The sequence below is a fragment of the Homo sapiens genome, chromosome 3 (genome assembly GCF_000001405.40).
Source record: "Homo sapiens chromosome 3, GRCh38.p14 Primary Assembly".
In the NCBI taxonomy this organism is placed as follows: Eukaryota; Metazoa; Chordata; class Mammalia; order Primates; family Hominidae; genus Homo; species Homo sapiens.
In genome coordinates, this window is record NC_000003.12 from 122,429,627 (window position 1) to 122,443,801 (window position 14,175).

The following is a 14,175-nucleotide window of genomic DNA, read 5'->3' on the forward strand; positions in this document are numbered from 1 at the left end:
TTCCCAACTTGATCTATAGATTCAATGTGATACTCCCAAACAAAATCCCAGCATGTTAATAGATACCAACAAACTGATTCTAAAGTTTATATGGGAAGGCAAAAGGCCCAGAATAGTCAATACAATACTGAAGAACAAAGTTGGAGGAATGACATTATCAACTTACTATAATCTAATCAAGACAGTGTGGTATTGGTGAAAGAACAAACAAAAAACCAGTGGAACAAAATAGAGGGCCCAGACATTCACAATACTTGAATGTTTGTTCCCCTGATGGTATCCTAGATGCCATTTAGGCTTTCTTTTTTAATTATTTTTTTCATTCATTCATTCATTCATGTATGTCTGACTGAGTTATTTCAAAAGACCTATCTTTAAGTTTAGTAATTCTTTCTTCTGCTTGATCTGATCCACTGCTGAATATCTCAACTGTATTTTTATTTCATTCATTAAATTCTTCAGTGCTGGGAATCCTTTTTTATATGTTATTGTTGCTTTTTTAATTGTGTGGTGGCAGGATGGTAGGAGATGCTCATAACTTTTGTTTTGTAAATCTGTATTCTTTGATTTAACCCACCACCACTACTACTGCCATCATTCACGGATTCACCAAAAATTGGATATTATCATACTTGTTTTTATTAATCTTTCTTACATTTATGTATAGCTGACATCTGTTTCAATGTTTAATATTAGAAGGTTTTTGGGTCTATATTTTGAAGGTTGGGGATGTTTCCTTGACCAGAAATATCACGTAGTAACTCAACTGATTTATATTAATTAGCCTATGATAAAATTGGTTTTGATATATACAATGTTTCTCTTAAAGTCAAAGTTTCCTGGAACCTATCAATGACATTAAGTGAGGACTTCCTATACTGTACTACCAGTGTGTGTGTGTGTGTGTGTGTGTGTGTGGTTTCTCAAATAAACTGTGTGTGTGTGTGTGTGTGTGGTTTCTCAGATAAACTGTGTGTTTGTGTGTTTGGTTTCTCAGATAAACTGCAAATTCATGCACAGACCCACACAAAAAGAATAGAAAGCCCAGAAACACACCCGCACAAAAACAGTCAACTGATCTTTAACAGAATAGCAAAGGCAATTAAATGGAGAAAGGATTCCACCTTTTCAACAGTGCTAAAACAACTGAACATCCATACAGAAAAATAATGAACCTAGACACAGGCCTTACTTTGTGTCACTCGTGAGCTTAGACAGGCCAAGTCTTCCCAATACCCAAGACTGAGGCTTTCATCCCAGTATTCACCAGTCGATTACTTAATCATCCTTGTGAAAGAACGACCTATAGCAAGACTGACCTGCCACCTCCAAAAACACTGCATTCTCTCACTTTTCCTCATGCTATTCTCCCCTCCAAAACTGCCAATTCTCTATACAAATAGTAAGTTTCACTTCTTTGATGAATGTTTCTCTAATTTCAGTTAATAATCCTTATCCTTCATTAAGAACATGTGTTATATATGTATTAACATTTGATTATATTCAACCTAAAATTCTAGATGTTTCCTAAAACATTCTTTTTTATCTTTTGAGACAGAGTCTCTCACTCTGTCTCCGAGGGTGGAGTGCAGTGGCACGATCTTGTCTCACTGCAACCAACCTCTGCCTCCTGGGTTCAAGCCATTTTCCCACCTCAGCCTCCCAAGTAGCTGGAACTACAGGAGAACACCAACACGCCCAGCTAATTTTTGTAGAGACAAGGTTTCTCCATGTTAGCTAGGCTGGTCTCGAACTCCTGACCTCAAGTGATTTGCTTGCCTTGTCCTCCCAAAGTGCTGGAATTACAGACATGAGCCACCACACCCGGCCAAGATATTTCCTAAAATATTCTAATTGTTTCTTGCATCCAAATCTGGTATCTGCAACAAGAAGCAGCAGAAGCCAGATAGATGTCTTTTATAAGTGATAAAGTCAGTTTGTTTTTTGTAATTTGGACTGTAATATTTTTGTGACATTCTTTCAAGATAACTCTTCATGTGGGGAAGAAGAAACTGCTAGGAGGTTGGTAATTAATTTTATTATAAATAGCTATGCTGAATTTTAAAAAGGGACAGCAGCAATTCTGCGCTTCTCTAACAGAGCAAAATACTCCTGAATACTTTCTCATGAAAGATGGCATAATAAAATATATATGTTTATGGTTTATTTCTTCTTCTTCTTTTTTTTTTTTTGTTGAAATGGAGTCTCACTCTGTCACCCAGGCTGGAGTGCAGTGGCATGATCTCAGCTCACTGCAACCTCTGCCTCCCGGGTTCAAGCGATTCTCCAGTCTCAGCCCCACAAGTAGCTGGGATTACGGGTGCACGCCACCACACCTGGCTAATTTTTGTACTTTTAGTAGACACGGGGTTTCACCCTGTTGGCCAGGCTGGTCTCGAACTCCTGACCTTGTGATCCACCTGCCTTGGCCTCCCAAAGTGGTGGGATTACAGACATGAGCCGCTGCACCCGGCCTGGCTTATTTCAATTAAGAAAATATATTTGCTATAAAATATAGAGACAATTAATAACTATAAATGTGAATTTGAACATAAAGCTTATTCAAATAACTATAGTACTTCATTATTTTTACCATCTGGTGACAGCATAATTAAAATCATAGTACTCTAGAATCAGAATTTTGGAGGTTGGAAAAAACCTACAAGACAAATGTGCTTCTGTCTCCCTGAAATAACCTGCCCATGATGAACTTCACCAAAATAGCTACTGCATATGTTAATCTGTTTGTAATTTTATTCTTTCAGGTACATATTTCTTATTTTCTCTACCTGATAAATTTCTGTACTTTGTTACTATTTTTATTTTTTAATTCCAAACAGAACACTCAAAACTAGCATCTGATGAATGCCTACATTCAGTCCACAAAGCAACAATGTAAGTAGTAGCTATGTTTGTCTGATATTACGTATGAGTAAGGAGTTAATGCTTTAGCACTCATTTGAAACCATCTTTCCTTAATTTTGGATTCCCCATAAAGTTAAGACTGGCTGAGTCTAGGCTAGGCTCCATTTTTCTCTTCATCATTACTTTTTTTCCCTATCTGAAATACTAGATGTCCTGAATTTTGCATTTAATTATATGATGCTCCTTTGAAGAACTGATTCCCATCCATATTTATGTTTTCTTCCACTCATTAAGCTTATAAGCTGCTCGTCGGGCATGATGGCTCACACCTGTAATTCCAGCACTCTGGGAGGCCAAGGCAGGTGGATCGCCGGAGCTCCGGAATTCAAGATCAGCCTGGCCAACAGGGGAAAACTCCGTTTCTACTAAAAATACAAAAATTAGCTGGGTGTGGTGGCACTCACCTGTAATCCTAGCTACTAGGAAGGCTGAGGCAGGAGAATCGCTTGAACCCAGGAGGCGGAGGTTGCAGTGAGCCGACAGTGCCACTGCACTCCAGCCTGGGCAACAGAGAGACTCCATCTCAATCAGTCAATCACTAAGCTGCTACCAAGGGAGCCATTTAAGTCTTGAGCTGCTACAGCTCCTCCCTTTAACAAGAATACCATAGTACTTTAGAAGATACCTGCCTCTACTAAATTTGGCACTTCATTCTCAGACATACCACTCTTTCAATTCTGATCCAATTCTACTATTAAGACATCTAAACTAAAAAGGGCAAGAGTGAGTTATTAAACTTGGGCTCAAGTTCTACAAGTAACCTATATTACCCAAGATATTTCTGACAAGTAGCTCCAGAGTAGGTTGAAGCAAGGATTTCTATTGCCTCAAGCCTCGACTATGCCTACTTCTTATATCCCAGGATTGTTTTTCAGCAAAAAGAAATGGGAGAGTTATAAAGAATTAAATACACATCTAATTATGACACCAAGGACAATTTCCTAAGGACTGGAACTAAACATTCTTATTTGGTAAGATCGTCTCTCACTTACTTTTCCCCTCAAAGGCAGCTAATCTTTTACTCTAGGTAATATGTGGGAGGTTATAAAGTGATAGACACAATAATAATTTTTCTTTAACTTACAATATGCTGCCTGATTGGTACTTACTTGATCTGTTCAGCTGATCCTCCAGAAGTTGCATTTGTGATGGCCCAAGCTGCTTCTTTTCTTGTCCGAAATTCAGCAGTTTGTAAAATACTAATGAGGGCTGGGAAAATGTTGGCATCTATCACAGTCTAAAATTAAAGAAAAACTTAAATGGAAAAAACTGTGAGATTTATAAAAATATTCATGATACTAATTATAATTTCTAAGCTAGTTTGACTATTAACACCCCTTCTCCTGTCAGAAATAAATTGAAAAGAGTTATGTCATTATCTCTAACCTTTTTTTTTCTTTTTTGAGATGGAGTCTCACTCTGTTGCCCAGGCTGGAGTGCAGTGGTGCAATCTCAGCTCACTGCAGCTTCCACCTCCTGGGTTCAAGTGATTCTCCTGCCTCAGCCTCCCGGGTAGCTGGGACTACAGGTGCACACCACCAAACCCGGCTAATTTTTGTACTTTTAGTAGAGACAGGGCTTCACCATGTTGGCCAGGCTGGCCTTGAACTCCTGACCTCAGGTGATCCACCCACCTCGGCCTCCCAAAGTGCAGGGATTACAGGTGGGAGCCACCGCACCCAGCCTATCCCTAATCCTTATTCTGTCTTGGTATCACTGAAAACATCTTCCCTGGAGTTTATGATCTTATAATCTCCTATTTTCTCTGAGTTCTTTTCTCTTTCACTTTCCTCTTTTGTTCTGCCCACAGTAACAAATTGTTAAGAGCTCAATTTTCTGCTCCTCTGCTATTCCATTCTCTCATAGCATGTGAACTTCCATGTGCGAAAACTCTCTAGTCCTCACTTCTCACTGGAGCATCAGCCCAGGGTAGCCAGCAGTTTACGTTAGGTCTGCTAGTCATCTCAAACACATCATCTGCCCGCTATATCAAGTTTCCTTTTAAACCCCTCTAGTTCACAAAGGCTATTAATTTACATTCTCAATTTTTAAAATCCTGAGTCCATCTTTTTCCTTTCCTTTGGCATTGCCATGCTATTCTCCAAGCCACCACCTCCCAGATTACCAAAATAAGACTTATAGTTGGATGGAGTACTTTTACTCAATCCCCTTCATGTACTAACACTAAAGTAGCCTTCCCAAAATTACTTTCTCCCTGTTTCTTCCTGGCTCAAGTACCTAACATGGGTTTATATCATTTCCTACATTAAGAAACTGAGAAGTTCTGCATAAAAAAGCCTGGTGGTGACAGGCAATCAAATACAGATGAAATCACCTCATATGAATGCTATAGATTGTTATAGCTATTAATCTCAGTTCCTAATTCAGCATTTTGGGGACAAAATGCTTTCCTGGTCAAAAACTCTTATTATACCTGTGAAGGACGTCAACAAAGTTTGACAAAGTTGATTACTGGAAAGACACCTAATCCCGGTCCTGTCATTTTACTAGAGGTGCTCTTGAGCAAATCATTTTAATTCCATGAGCCGTTTCATCTTTTTATTCAAATTTTTTATTGACAAATAATAATTGTATATATTTATGGGATACAATGTAATGGATGCTTCAATACACACACACAAACACACACACACAAAATTGTGGTAAATGAAAACCTTGGATTAGATGATCTCTCTGTTTCCATTCATCTCCAAGGCCCTCTATGTCTGTGTTATATCTTTTCCTACCCACTGTTCCATCCTTGAACATTGCCCAGGCTGAACACTTTGGCCCACTGCTTGTCGTCCACTTGAGTTACTCTCCCACCAATACAAAGACAAAAGTAAAAACCAAGTAACTATTTAAAGAAAAATGGGTATCCAAAAATTCATGAAAATTTGAGGCAATCTACATGGGTCCACTGGAAAAATAAATATCTTACTTGGAAAGCGTTAAAGCCAATCGTGCTCAGCATAAAGCCCATCAAAACATTTTGAAAATACAAGACATTATTTGTTGCAAGAAGTCAGGGACCCTGAATGGAGGGACCATGAAGCCTGGCAGAAGGACATAAATTGTGAAGATTTCATGGACATTTATTAGTTCCCCCAAATTAATACTTTTATCATTTCTTACACCTGTCTTTACTGCAGTCTCTGAACATAAACTGTGAAGATTTCATGGACATTTATCACCTCCCCAATCAATACTCTTATAATTTCCTATGCCTATCTTTACTTTAATCTCTTAATCCCGTCATCTTCATTAAGCTGAGGATGTATGTCGCCTCAGGACCCTGTGATGATTGCATCATAAAGCATGTGTGTTTAAACAATATGAAATCTGGGCACCTTGAAAAAAGAAGAGGATAACAGCGATGTTCAGGGAACAAGGGAGATAACCATCAGGTCTGACTGCCTGAGAGCTAGGCGGAACAGAGCTATTATTTCTCTTCTTACAAAAGTGAATAGGAGAAATATTACTGAATTCTTTTTCTCAGCAAGGAACAGTCATGAGAAAGAGAATGCGTTCCTAGGGGGAGGTCTCTAAAATGGCCACTCTGGGACTGTCTGTCTTATATGGTTGTGGATAAGGGATGAAATAAACCCCGGTCTCCCTTAGCGCTCCCAGGCCTATTAGGACGAGGAAATTCCCGCCTAGTAAATTTTAGTCAGACTGGTTGTCTGTTCTCAAACCCTGTCTCCTGATAAGATGTTATCGATGACAATGCATGCCTGAAACCTCATTAGCAATTTTAATTTCGCCCCGTGCTCTGCCATTTGCCTTGTGATATTTTATTGCCTTGTGAAGTATGTGATCTCTGTGACCCACAACCTATTCGTACACTCCCTCCCCTTTGAAAATCACTAATAAAAACCTGCTGGTTTTGCAGCTTGGGGGGCATCACGGAACGTGCCGATATGTGATGTCTCCCCCAGACAGCCAGCTTTAAAATTTCTCTTGTACTCTTTCCCTTTATTTCTCAGACCGGCCGACACTTAGGGAAAACAGAAAAGAACCTACATGAAACACTGGAGGTGGTTCCCCTGATAACTATTTCTTGGGTCTTGGTGAAACATCAAATATTAACGGCAACAGAAAAAATGAAGGCTTAAGTGTAAATTTCAAAAGACTTAACATCTATAAGCTAGGATAAAGTAAAAAGCTGACTATGAAATAAGACAACAACATTGAAAGTGGTCTTCAAAGCAATAATGAAAACGATATACGTTTTATTTTGTTTTGAGATGGAGTCTTGCTCTGTCACCCAGGATGGAGTACAGTGGCACAATCTCGGCTCACTACAACCTCTACCTCCACGGTTCAAGTAATTCTCCTCCCTCAGCCTCCCGCGTAGCTGGGACTACAGGCACCTGCCACTGCGACTGGCTAATTTTTTTGTATTTTTAGTAGAGACAAGGTTTCAGCATGTTGACCAGGATAGTCTTGAACTCCTGACCGCAAGTGATCCACGGGCCTCAGCCTCCCAGAGTGCTGGGATTACAGGCAGGAGCCACCGCACCCAGCCAAAAACAAATGTGTTTTAAAGGGTGACTGAGAAAAAAACCTTACTTTTCAATAAAAATACTGAAAGAGAAGTTAGGTCCTATGAGGTTACCTGGATCTGTGCCCTATTTCCAGCTGTAATATTAGATATCGTCCAACATGCTTCCTTTTTGATAGATTCCTTTGGGCTACTCAGCAAATGCAATAAACTCTGCAGAGCTGAGCAATTCAGAATTACCTAAAAGAAAAAGTTTGAAAATTTTACTTATTGTATTGTTCTAAATATCAATGTTTAACTTAAGGAACACATTTTATGAAAGACATAACATCTCCCCTTGAAATTTTATAAATAAGTAACTTTATACAGGTAAAAAAAAGTATTCACTGTTAATAAGAATTAGTTTCTAAGAGTATCAGTACAGTTTCATTGTACACATTCACAACTGCTAAACTGTACTTAATAAGATACAATAATGTTACTATTGTAATTACAAAAGCATTACTCATTCACCTTCCCATCCCAATAGCGTAAGTCTTCTGAATGGGTAAATATATCAAGTGGCCAGAAAAGTCAGGAGTCTCAGATTTGTAGGTCCTCTGATAACACACTACTTGGTAGTCAATGAACGAATACGTACTTAATGAGGTATATTAGATGCTTTATAGGATACAAAGATAAAAAAGATATGACCTCAGCTATCAGTTTATAAAGGTGAAGGAGGTAACACAAATACACATGAAGAAGGAGACCTACTCTACTAGAAACTAAAATAATATAAGTTTGATTAAAATAGTATATGGCAGATTTAAGAATTAATCACTAAACAGAGAACAGAGATCTATTCTAGAAACAAATGCAGCTATTTATAAAGTTTATAATAAGTTAATCCTTTCTTCCAATGACTTGTGGCTATGACAGAACTGGAATAAAAAGCTAAACAGATTAAAGACAATTTTTTCAATATCATTTCTTAACCCTGATATGGTTTGGATCTGTGTCCCCACCCAAATCACATGTTGAATTGTAATCCCCAAGGTTGGAGGTGGGGCCTGGTAGGAGGTGACTGGATCATGGGGGTGGATCCTTCAAGAATGGTCAGCGCCATCCCCATGGTTCTGTTCTAGTATGTAGCACCTTCTCCTACTCTTTGCTCCTGCTCACGTCACATAAGACAAGCCTGCTTTCTCTTCACCTTCCACCATAACTTTTAAGTTTCCTGAGACCTCCCCAGAAGCAGAAGCTACTATATGCGTCCTGTATGGCCTACAAAAACATGAGCCAATTAAACCTCTTTTCTTTATAAACTACTCAGTCTTCGGTATTTCTTTTTTGTTTTTTTTTTTTTGAGACAGAGTTTCGCTCCTGTTGCCCAGGCTGGAGCGCAATGGCACAATCTCTGCTCACCGCAACCTCCGCCTCCTGGGTTCAAGTAATTCTCCTGCCTCAGCCTCCTGAGTAGCTGGGATTACAGGCATGCGCCACCACGCCCGGCTAATTTTGTATTTTTAGTAGAGACAGGGTTTCTCCATGTTGGTCAGGCTGGTCTTGAACTCCCGACCTCATGTGATCCACCTACCTCAGCCTCCCAAAGTGCTGGGATTACAGGCAGGAGCCACCACGCTCGGCCAGGTATTTCTTTATAGCAATGAAATAACAGACTAATATAAACCCTAAGTCACCAAAATAAATTTGCAACTACTTAAGAGTAAATATTTTTAAAAGAAATCATAAAGCAGAATATTAGAAAATAGCTGACTTGGGGATGGTAAAAGACTGTATGTATGAGCATAAAAATAAAGAAATTATAGGGGAAAATAAAAATTTCATGAAACATGTTTTCATGTCAAAAATCGTAACAGATTTTAAATGTACACCATCCACTGTGAAAAATATTTGCAACAAATGAGAGGGTTGCTATGTGTAAACTGAAAAGAGAAACTAAAATTTTAATAGAAAATTATCTCCTAAGTAATGAAAGAAATGCAAATTAAAATGAAGTCTTTTATGCCTATTAAATAGGCAATAGGATTTCATTAGCAAAAAGAGGGACTGACACTGCACATAAGCTAGAAATGAAAAAATGCAGAGACAAGCTATTACAAAGTACTGTAAGAACAGACTACTGAGGCTATTTTATTTTAAGAAACATAGTCTCGTTCTATCACTAAGGCTGGAGTGTGGTGGCATGATCATAGCTCACTGCAACCTCAAACTCCTGGGTGCAAGCAATCCTCCTGCCTCAGCCTCCTGAGTAGAGTAGGTAGGACTACAGTTACATTCCATCATGCTCAGCTAATTAAAAAAAAATGTTTTTAGAGATGGGGTCTTGCTATATTGCATGGGCTGGTTTGGAACTCCTGGGCTCAGGCAATTCTCTCACCTCAGCCTCTCAAAAAGCTAGGAATACAAGCATGAGCCAGCATACCTGGCCATGATGAGGCTATTACAAAAGAGTTCTATGCCCCAAAAATAATAGGCTAGAAAGAAGAATGAGACTAAAATCTTAAGGAGAAATTCCTTTGAATCTTTCAAGTTTCTTTATCTTACAGGCACTAAAGCAGCTTATTATTTCTAGAGGAAGATAATGCAAATAACATTACTTTAGGAAAGATTCAGCTGTTATTAGGGGGAATAAATTGAGAAGAGTAACTGCTTAGGACAGTCGGAGGATGGATGGGTACAGCAACAACCTGTGTGTGTGACAAGGACCAAAAGTACGTAATTTGATGGGGATCTAGTAACAATAACAATCAAGAAGACCCAGCAACTTGCTATACAAACTATAAGGGAGGGAGACACCACATGTAACTGCAAAGTTTCATGTGTAGGTAAAGAGAATAGTTATATCATTACCTGAAATAGGAAAAATAAAAACTTGGAACTTGCCTTGTGGGGGAAAGAAGATATACTGTGAGACAAACGTGAGATATGCAAGCAGAAATATGTAAGAAACTACTGCAGATATAGGACTGAAACTTGAGATAGGTCAGAAGTAGATGTAGAGATTCAGAACTTCATTGCATTCAATAAATATTCTTTAAGTCCCTATATATTGTGCCAGAAATTATTAGATTTACAGAGGCACAGAAATAAACACTGACATAATCCACCTCTAGAATCTTAAAATCTAGTAATTAGTTACAATACAATGTGATTAATATTCTGATGGATAAAGAAAAAAAAATAAGTACCTAACTTAAGAGTTTAGGGTCAAACAGGGCTTCTCAGAGAAAATAATGTTAATACCAAGACTTGAAGAACAAGAAAACATTAGGAGCAGAGAATGTGGATATGTGTGAGGTGGCAGTCAGAGCAAGGGGTAGCAGTGGAGACACATGTTCCAGGCAGAGGGAATAAAGCATGCGTTAAAACTCTGAGCTGAGAGTGGCCACAGCCAATTCAAGGAACAAATATGGCAAAAGCATACAGCATATGGAGGTGGGTGAGGGACAGAAAGATACTGATAGGGTTCAAAAATTCAGAGGGTATAAAAGACTCCATAGTTGTTAAAAGCCTCTTTCCCCTTCTTGTATCCCAGCCAACCAGTTCCCCTCAAAGACAACCAACATTTTCAGTTCCCTGTATATCCTTCCAGAGAAATTTTATGCAAATATAGTCAAACATATATTCTTTTCTTCTCCTATTCTCTTCTGAAGTGTCTGAACTAAGCCCTGCAAAGGATGAATAGAGACAGAACAACAGGACTTAGTAACTGATGATGGAGTTGGAGGAGAGGAAAGAATCAAGCTGATGTCCAGGTTTCAGGGGAACTGATGGTGCCATTCACTGATACAGGGAACATAAGCAGAGGTTCAGGTAATGCAAGGGGAAATGAGTTCCCTTGTGTACAGAATATATTTAAAGTAAATACATTACAGTTAGAAGACACCTGAGAGAACAAATCTAATCTCCTTAATTTTAGAGATTAGAAAAGGCATTAAATGTATTGCTGAAAGTCAGAACTGGTGAAGAAAACGCTAAGGCTAAAACCCAATTCCCAATTCTGAATCCATGCACACAAGGGTAATCACTGACATTATAAATAAGATCTATGAATGAGGCAGAAGGATTGCCCCGTGGAAGATGTCCACAAAAGGAGACAAGAGGAAAAGGAGCTTGCTAGGGAGAAATAAATGGTCGATGAGGCAGAAGAACTAAAAGACTTCAACATCACAACACAGCTGAGATTTCAGGAAGAAATATGGCTAGAACAATGCACTGTGAATGGTGTGTCTTGATACAGAAGTTGAATAGAGTAGATGGTGACATTAGAAAGTAGGAGGGAAGAATCTTCCTCACACAGGGGACTTACCATGTACAAAAGGAGAAAGCTATCAGAGAAGGTGATATTGAGATGAAAAAGACAGAGAAAAGATGCTACTAGAGGATTCTGATGCCCATGAGAACTATTTCAAATAGGAGTGAAGAAAAACAAATCTGCCTGACCAAAAAATAGTCACTATCATAGGACAACCCCAAACTACTACAAGCAACAGGTCAAGTCAGAGATACTAAAGGTATTGAGAGTAGATGCCTAAACCAACTTTTTTTTTTTTCTTTGAGCTGGAGTCTCACTCTGTTGCCCAGGCTGGAGTGCAGTGGTGCGATCTCGGCTCACTGCAACCTCTACCTCCTGGGTTCAAGCGATTCTTCTACCTCAGCCTCCAAGTAGCTGGAACTACAGGCGTGTGCAACCACGCCCGGCTAATTTTTTGTATTTTTAGTAGAGATGAGGTTTCACCATGTTGCCCAGGCTGGTGTCGAACTCCTGAGCTCAGGCAATCCGTCCGCCTCAGTCTCCCAAAGTGCTGGGATTACAGGCGTGAGTGACCGCCCCCGGCCCAACATTTTTAAACATTAGTGTAACAGAGTATCAAGTTTCCCTAATAATATGGAGTAAAATACGATAATAGAAACATGATCATGAAGTTCAATATACTGTTTTTAAAGGACAAAAAAAAGTTACCACTTCTTCATACCTGTGTCTGAATATCATCCCCTGTGACAATGTTTCCCACAGCTCGCAAAGCAGGAGAAACCACTTTATAATCATTATGCCTGCAAAAACAAAAAGTAATGTTATAGCAAACAGTTCTATCCTTAGTTTCATTTCCTTCCAAGACCAAAATTAAAAAACAAAAAAATTGTGATAGAATTTTAGAGCAGAAATGTACCCATGGGGCTAATTAAGGGAACGCTTATCATGATGATGGAATGTCTGGTGTTCCCTAGAACTGTCTTTCCCCTTATTTTAGTACATTTGGAAAAAACTACCAATCTTTCCTAGGAATCTTTCCCAGGTATTCCATCACCTGGATTCCAACTTTTCCCTCTCATTCTTTAGTATAGGTTTCATTTCCTCTTTACTGGCTTTTGTATGGTTGCTGAGATAATTGAGAGCAATAATTAACATTTACGCAACATTTTTAAGTTTTATAAATTGTCTTAATTTTCAGACGTAAAAGTGACACATCAACAGCTGAACTAACTTGAAAATGCAAGTCAGGAGTCACACTCTAAATACAAAGGTCTTTCAACTAAACTTACTAAATAAGCTGCCTTACTGGTCCAAAAACCACTCCACAAAGCCATATATATATATTTGAAGACAGATATTAAGTCCTTATTTCTAGCTAAATTAAGTCACTATCTTTTGATTTTCCTTAAGGGTCCTATTTTTCCCTCCACTTTAATGAGACCGATCACTCTTCTAAAAACTAAGCCAGTTCCTTCAAATTTAACATGTGATGATTAAAAAGAAATGGCTGGGTTCCGTTCCAAGATAGCTGAATAGGAACAGCTCTGGTCTGCAGCTCCCAGAGTGATCGACGCAGAAGACGGGTGATTTCTGCATCACCAACTGAGGTACCTGATTCATCTCACTGGGACTGGTTGGACAGTGGGTGCAGCCCACGGAGGGCAAGGTGAAGCATGACAGGGCGTCGCCTCACCCAGGAAGCACAATGGGTCGGGGGATTTTCCTTTCCTAGCCAAGGGAAGCTGTGACAGACTGTACATGGAAAATCAGTACACCCCGCCCAAACACTGTGCTTTTCCCACAGTCTTAGCAAATGGCAGACGAGGAGATTGCTCTCCCATGCCTGGCTCAGCGGGTCCCATGCCCATGCAGCCTTGCTCACTGCTAGCGCAGCAGCTGGAGATCGACCTGCAAGGCTGCAGCCTGGCGGGGGGAGGGGCGTCTGCCATTGCTGGGGCTTGAGTAGGTAAACAAAGCAGCCAGAAAGCTCGAAATGGGTGGATCCCACCGCACCTCAGCAAGGCCTACTATCTCTATACACTCCACCTCTGGGGGCAGGGCATAGGCTGAACAAAAGGCAGCAGACAACTTCTACAGATGTAAACGTCCCTGTCTGACAGCTCTGAAGAGAGCAGTGGTTCTCCCAGCATGGTGTTTGAGCTCTGAGAATGGACAGACTACCTCCTCAAGTGGGTCCCTGAACCCCGTGTAGCCTATTGGGGGAACCAGCCCCCAATATTTCAATGTAGGTTCTTTTCTATTTTCTCTAAGTGTTGGCCAGTCTAAGAAATAAAGAGAAAGAGTACAAAAGAGAGAAATTTTACACCTGAGTCTCCGGGGGTGACATCACATGTCGGCAGGTTCCGTGATGCTCCCAAGCCACAAAACCAGCAATATTTTATTAGCGATTTTCAAAGGGGAGGGAGTGTACGAATAGGGTGTGGGTCACAGAGATCACATGCTTCAAAAGGCAATAAAATATCAC

At 39.6% G+C, this 14,175-nt stretch overlaps 1 protein-coding gene and 1 long non-coding RNA gene across 5 annotated transcripts in view; one reads left to right on the forward strand and one right to left on the reverse strand.

The window, feature by feature from the left end:
* WDR5B-DT (WDR5B divergent transcript) overlaps nt 1-13,621 on the forward strand; it is a 27,042-nt gene extending 13,421 nt beyond the window's left edge. Inside the window, exons 2-3 of the long non-coding RNA NR_125405.1 lie at nt 2,841-2,895; nt 13,101-13,621. This is a non-coding gene — a long non-coding RNA (WDR5B divergent transcript). The remainder of the gene's footprint in view (nt 1-2,840; nt 2,896-13,100) is intronic.
* The window catches only part of KPNA1 (karyopherin subunit alpha 1), a 93,038-nt gene that overhangs the window by 7,725 nt on the left and 71,138 nt on the right, over nt 1-14,175 (reverse strand). For all 4 annotated transcript variants that reach the window (NR_026698.2, XM_005247437.5, XM_024453514.2 and 1 more), the window contains 3 exons: nt 12,412-12,490; nt 7,544-7,669; nt 4,035-4,162 (listed from right to left, as the gene is read on the reverse strand). Coding sequence is in view for 3 of the 4 variants with exons in the window: in XM_005247437.5 (XP_005247494.1) it covers nt 4,035-4,162; nt 7,544-7,669; nt 12,412-12,490 (333 nt within the window). In the remaining variant the exon portion in view is untranslated. The remainder of the gene's footprint in view (nt 1-4,034; nt 4,163-7,543; nt 7,670-12,411; nt 12,491-14,175) is intronic.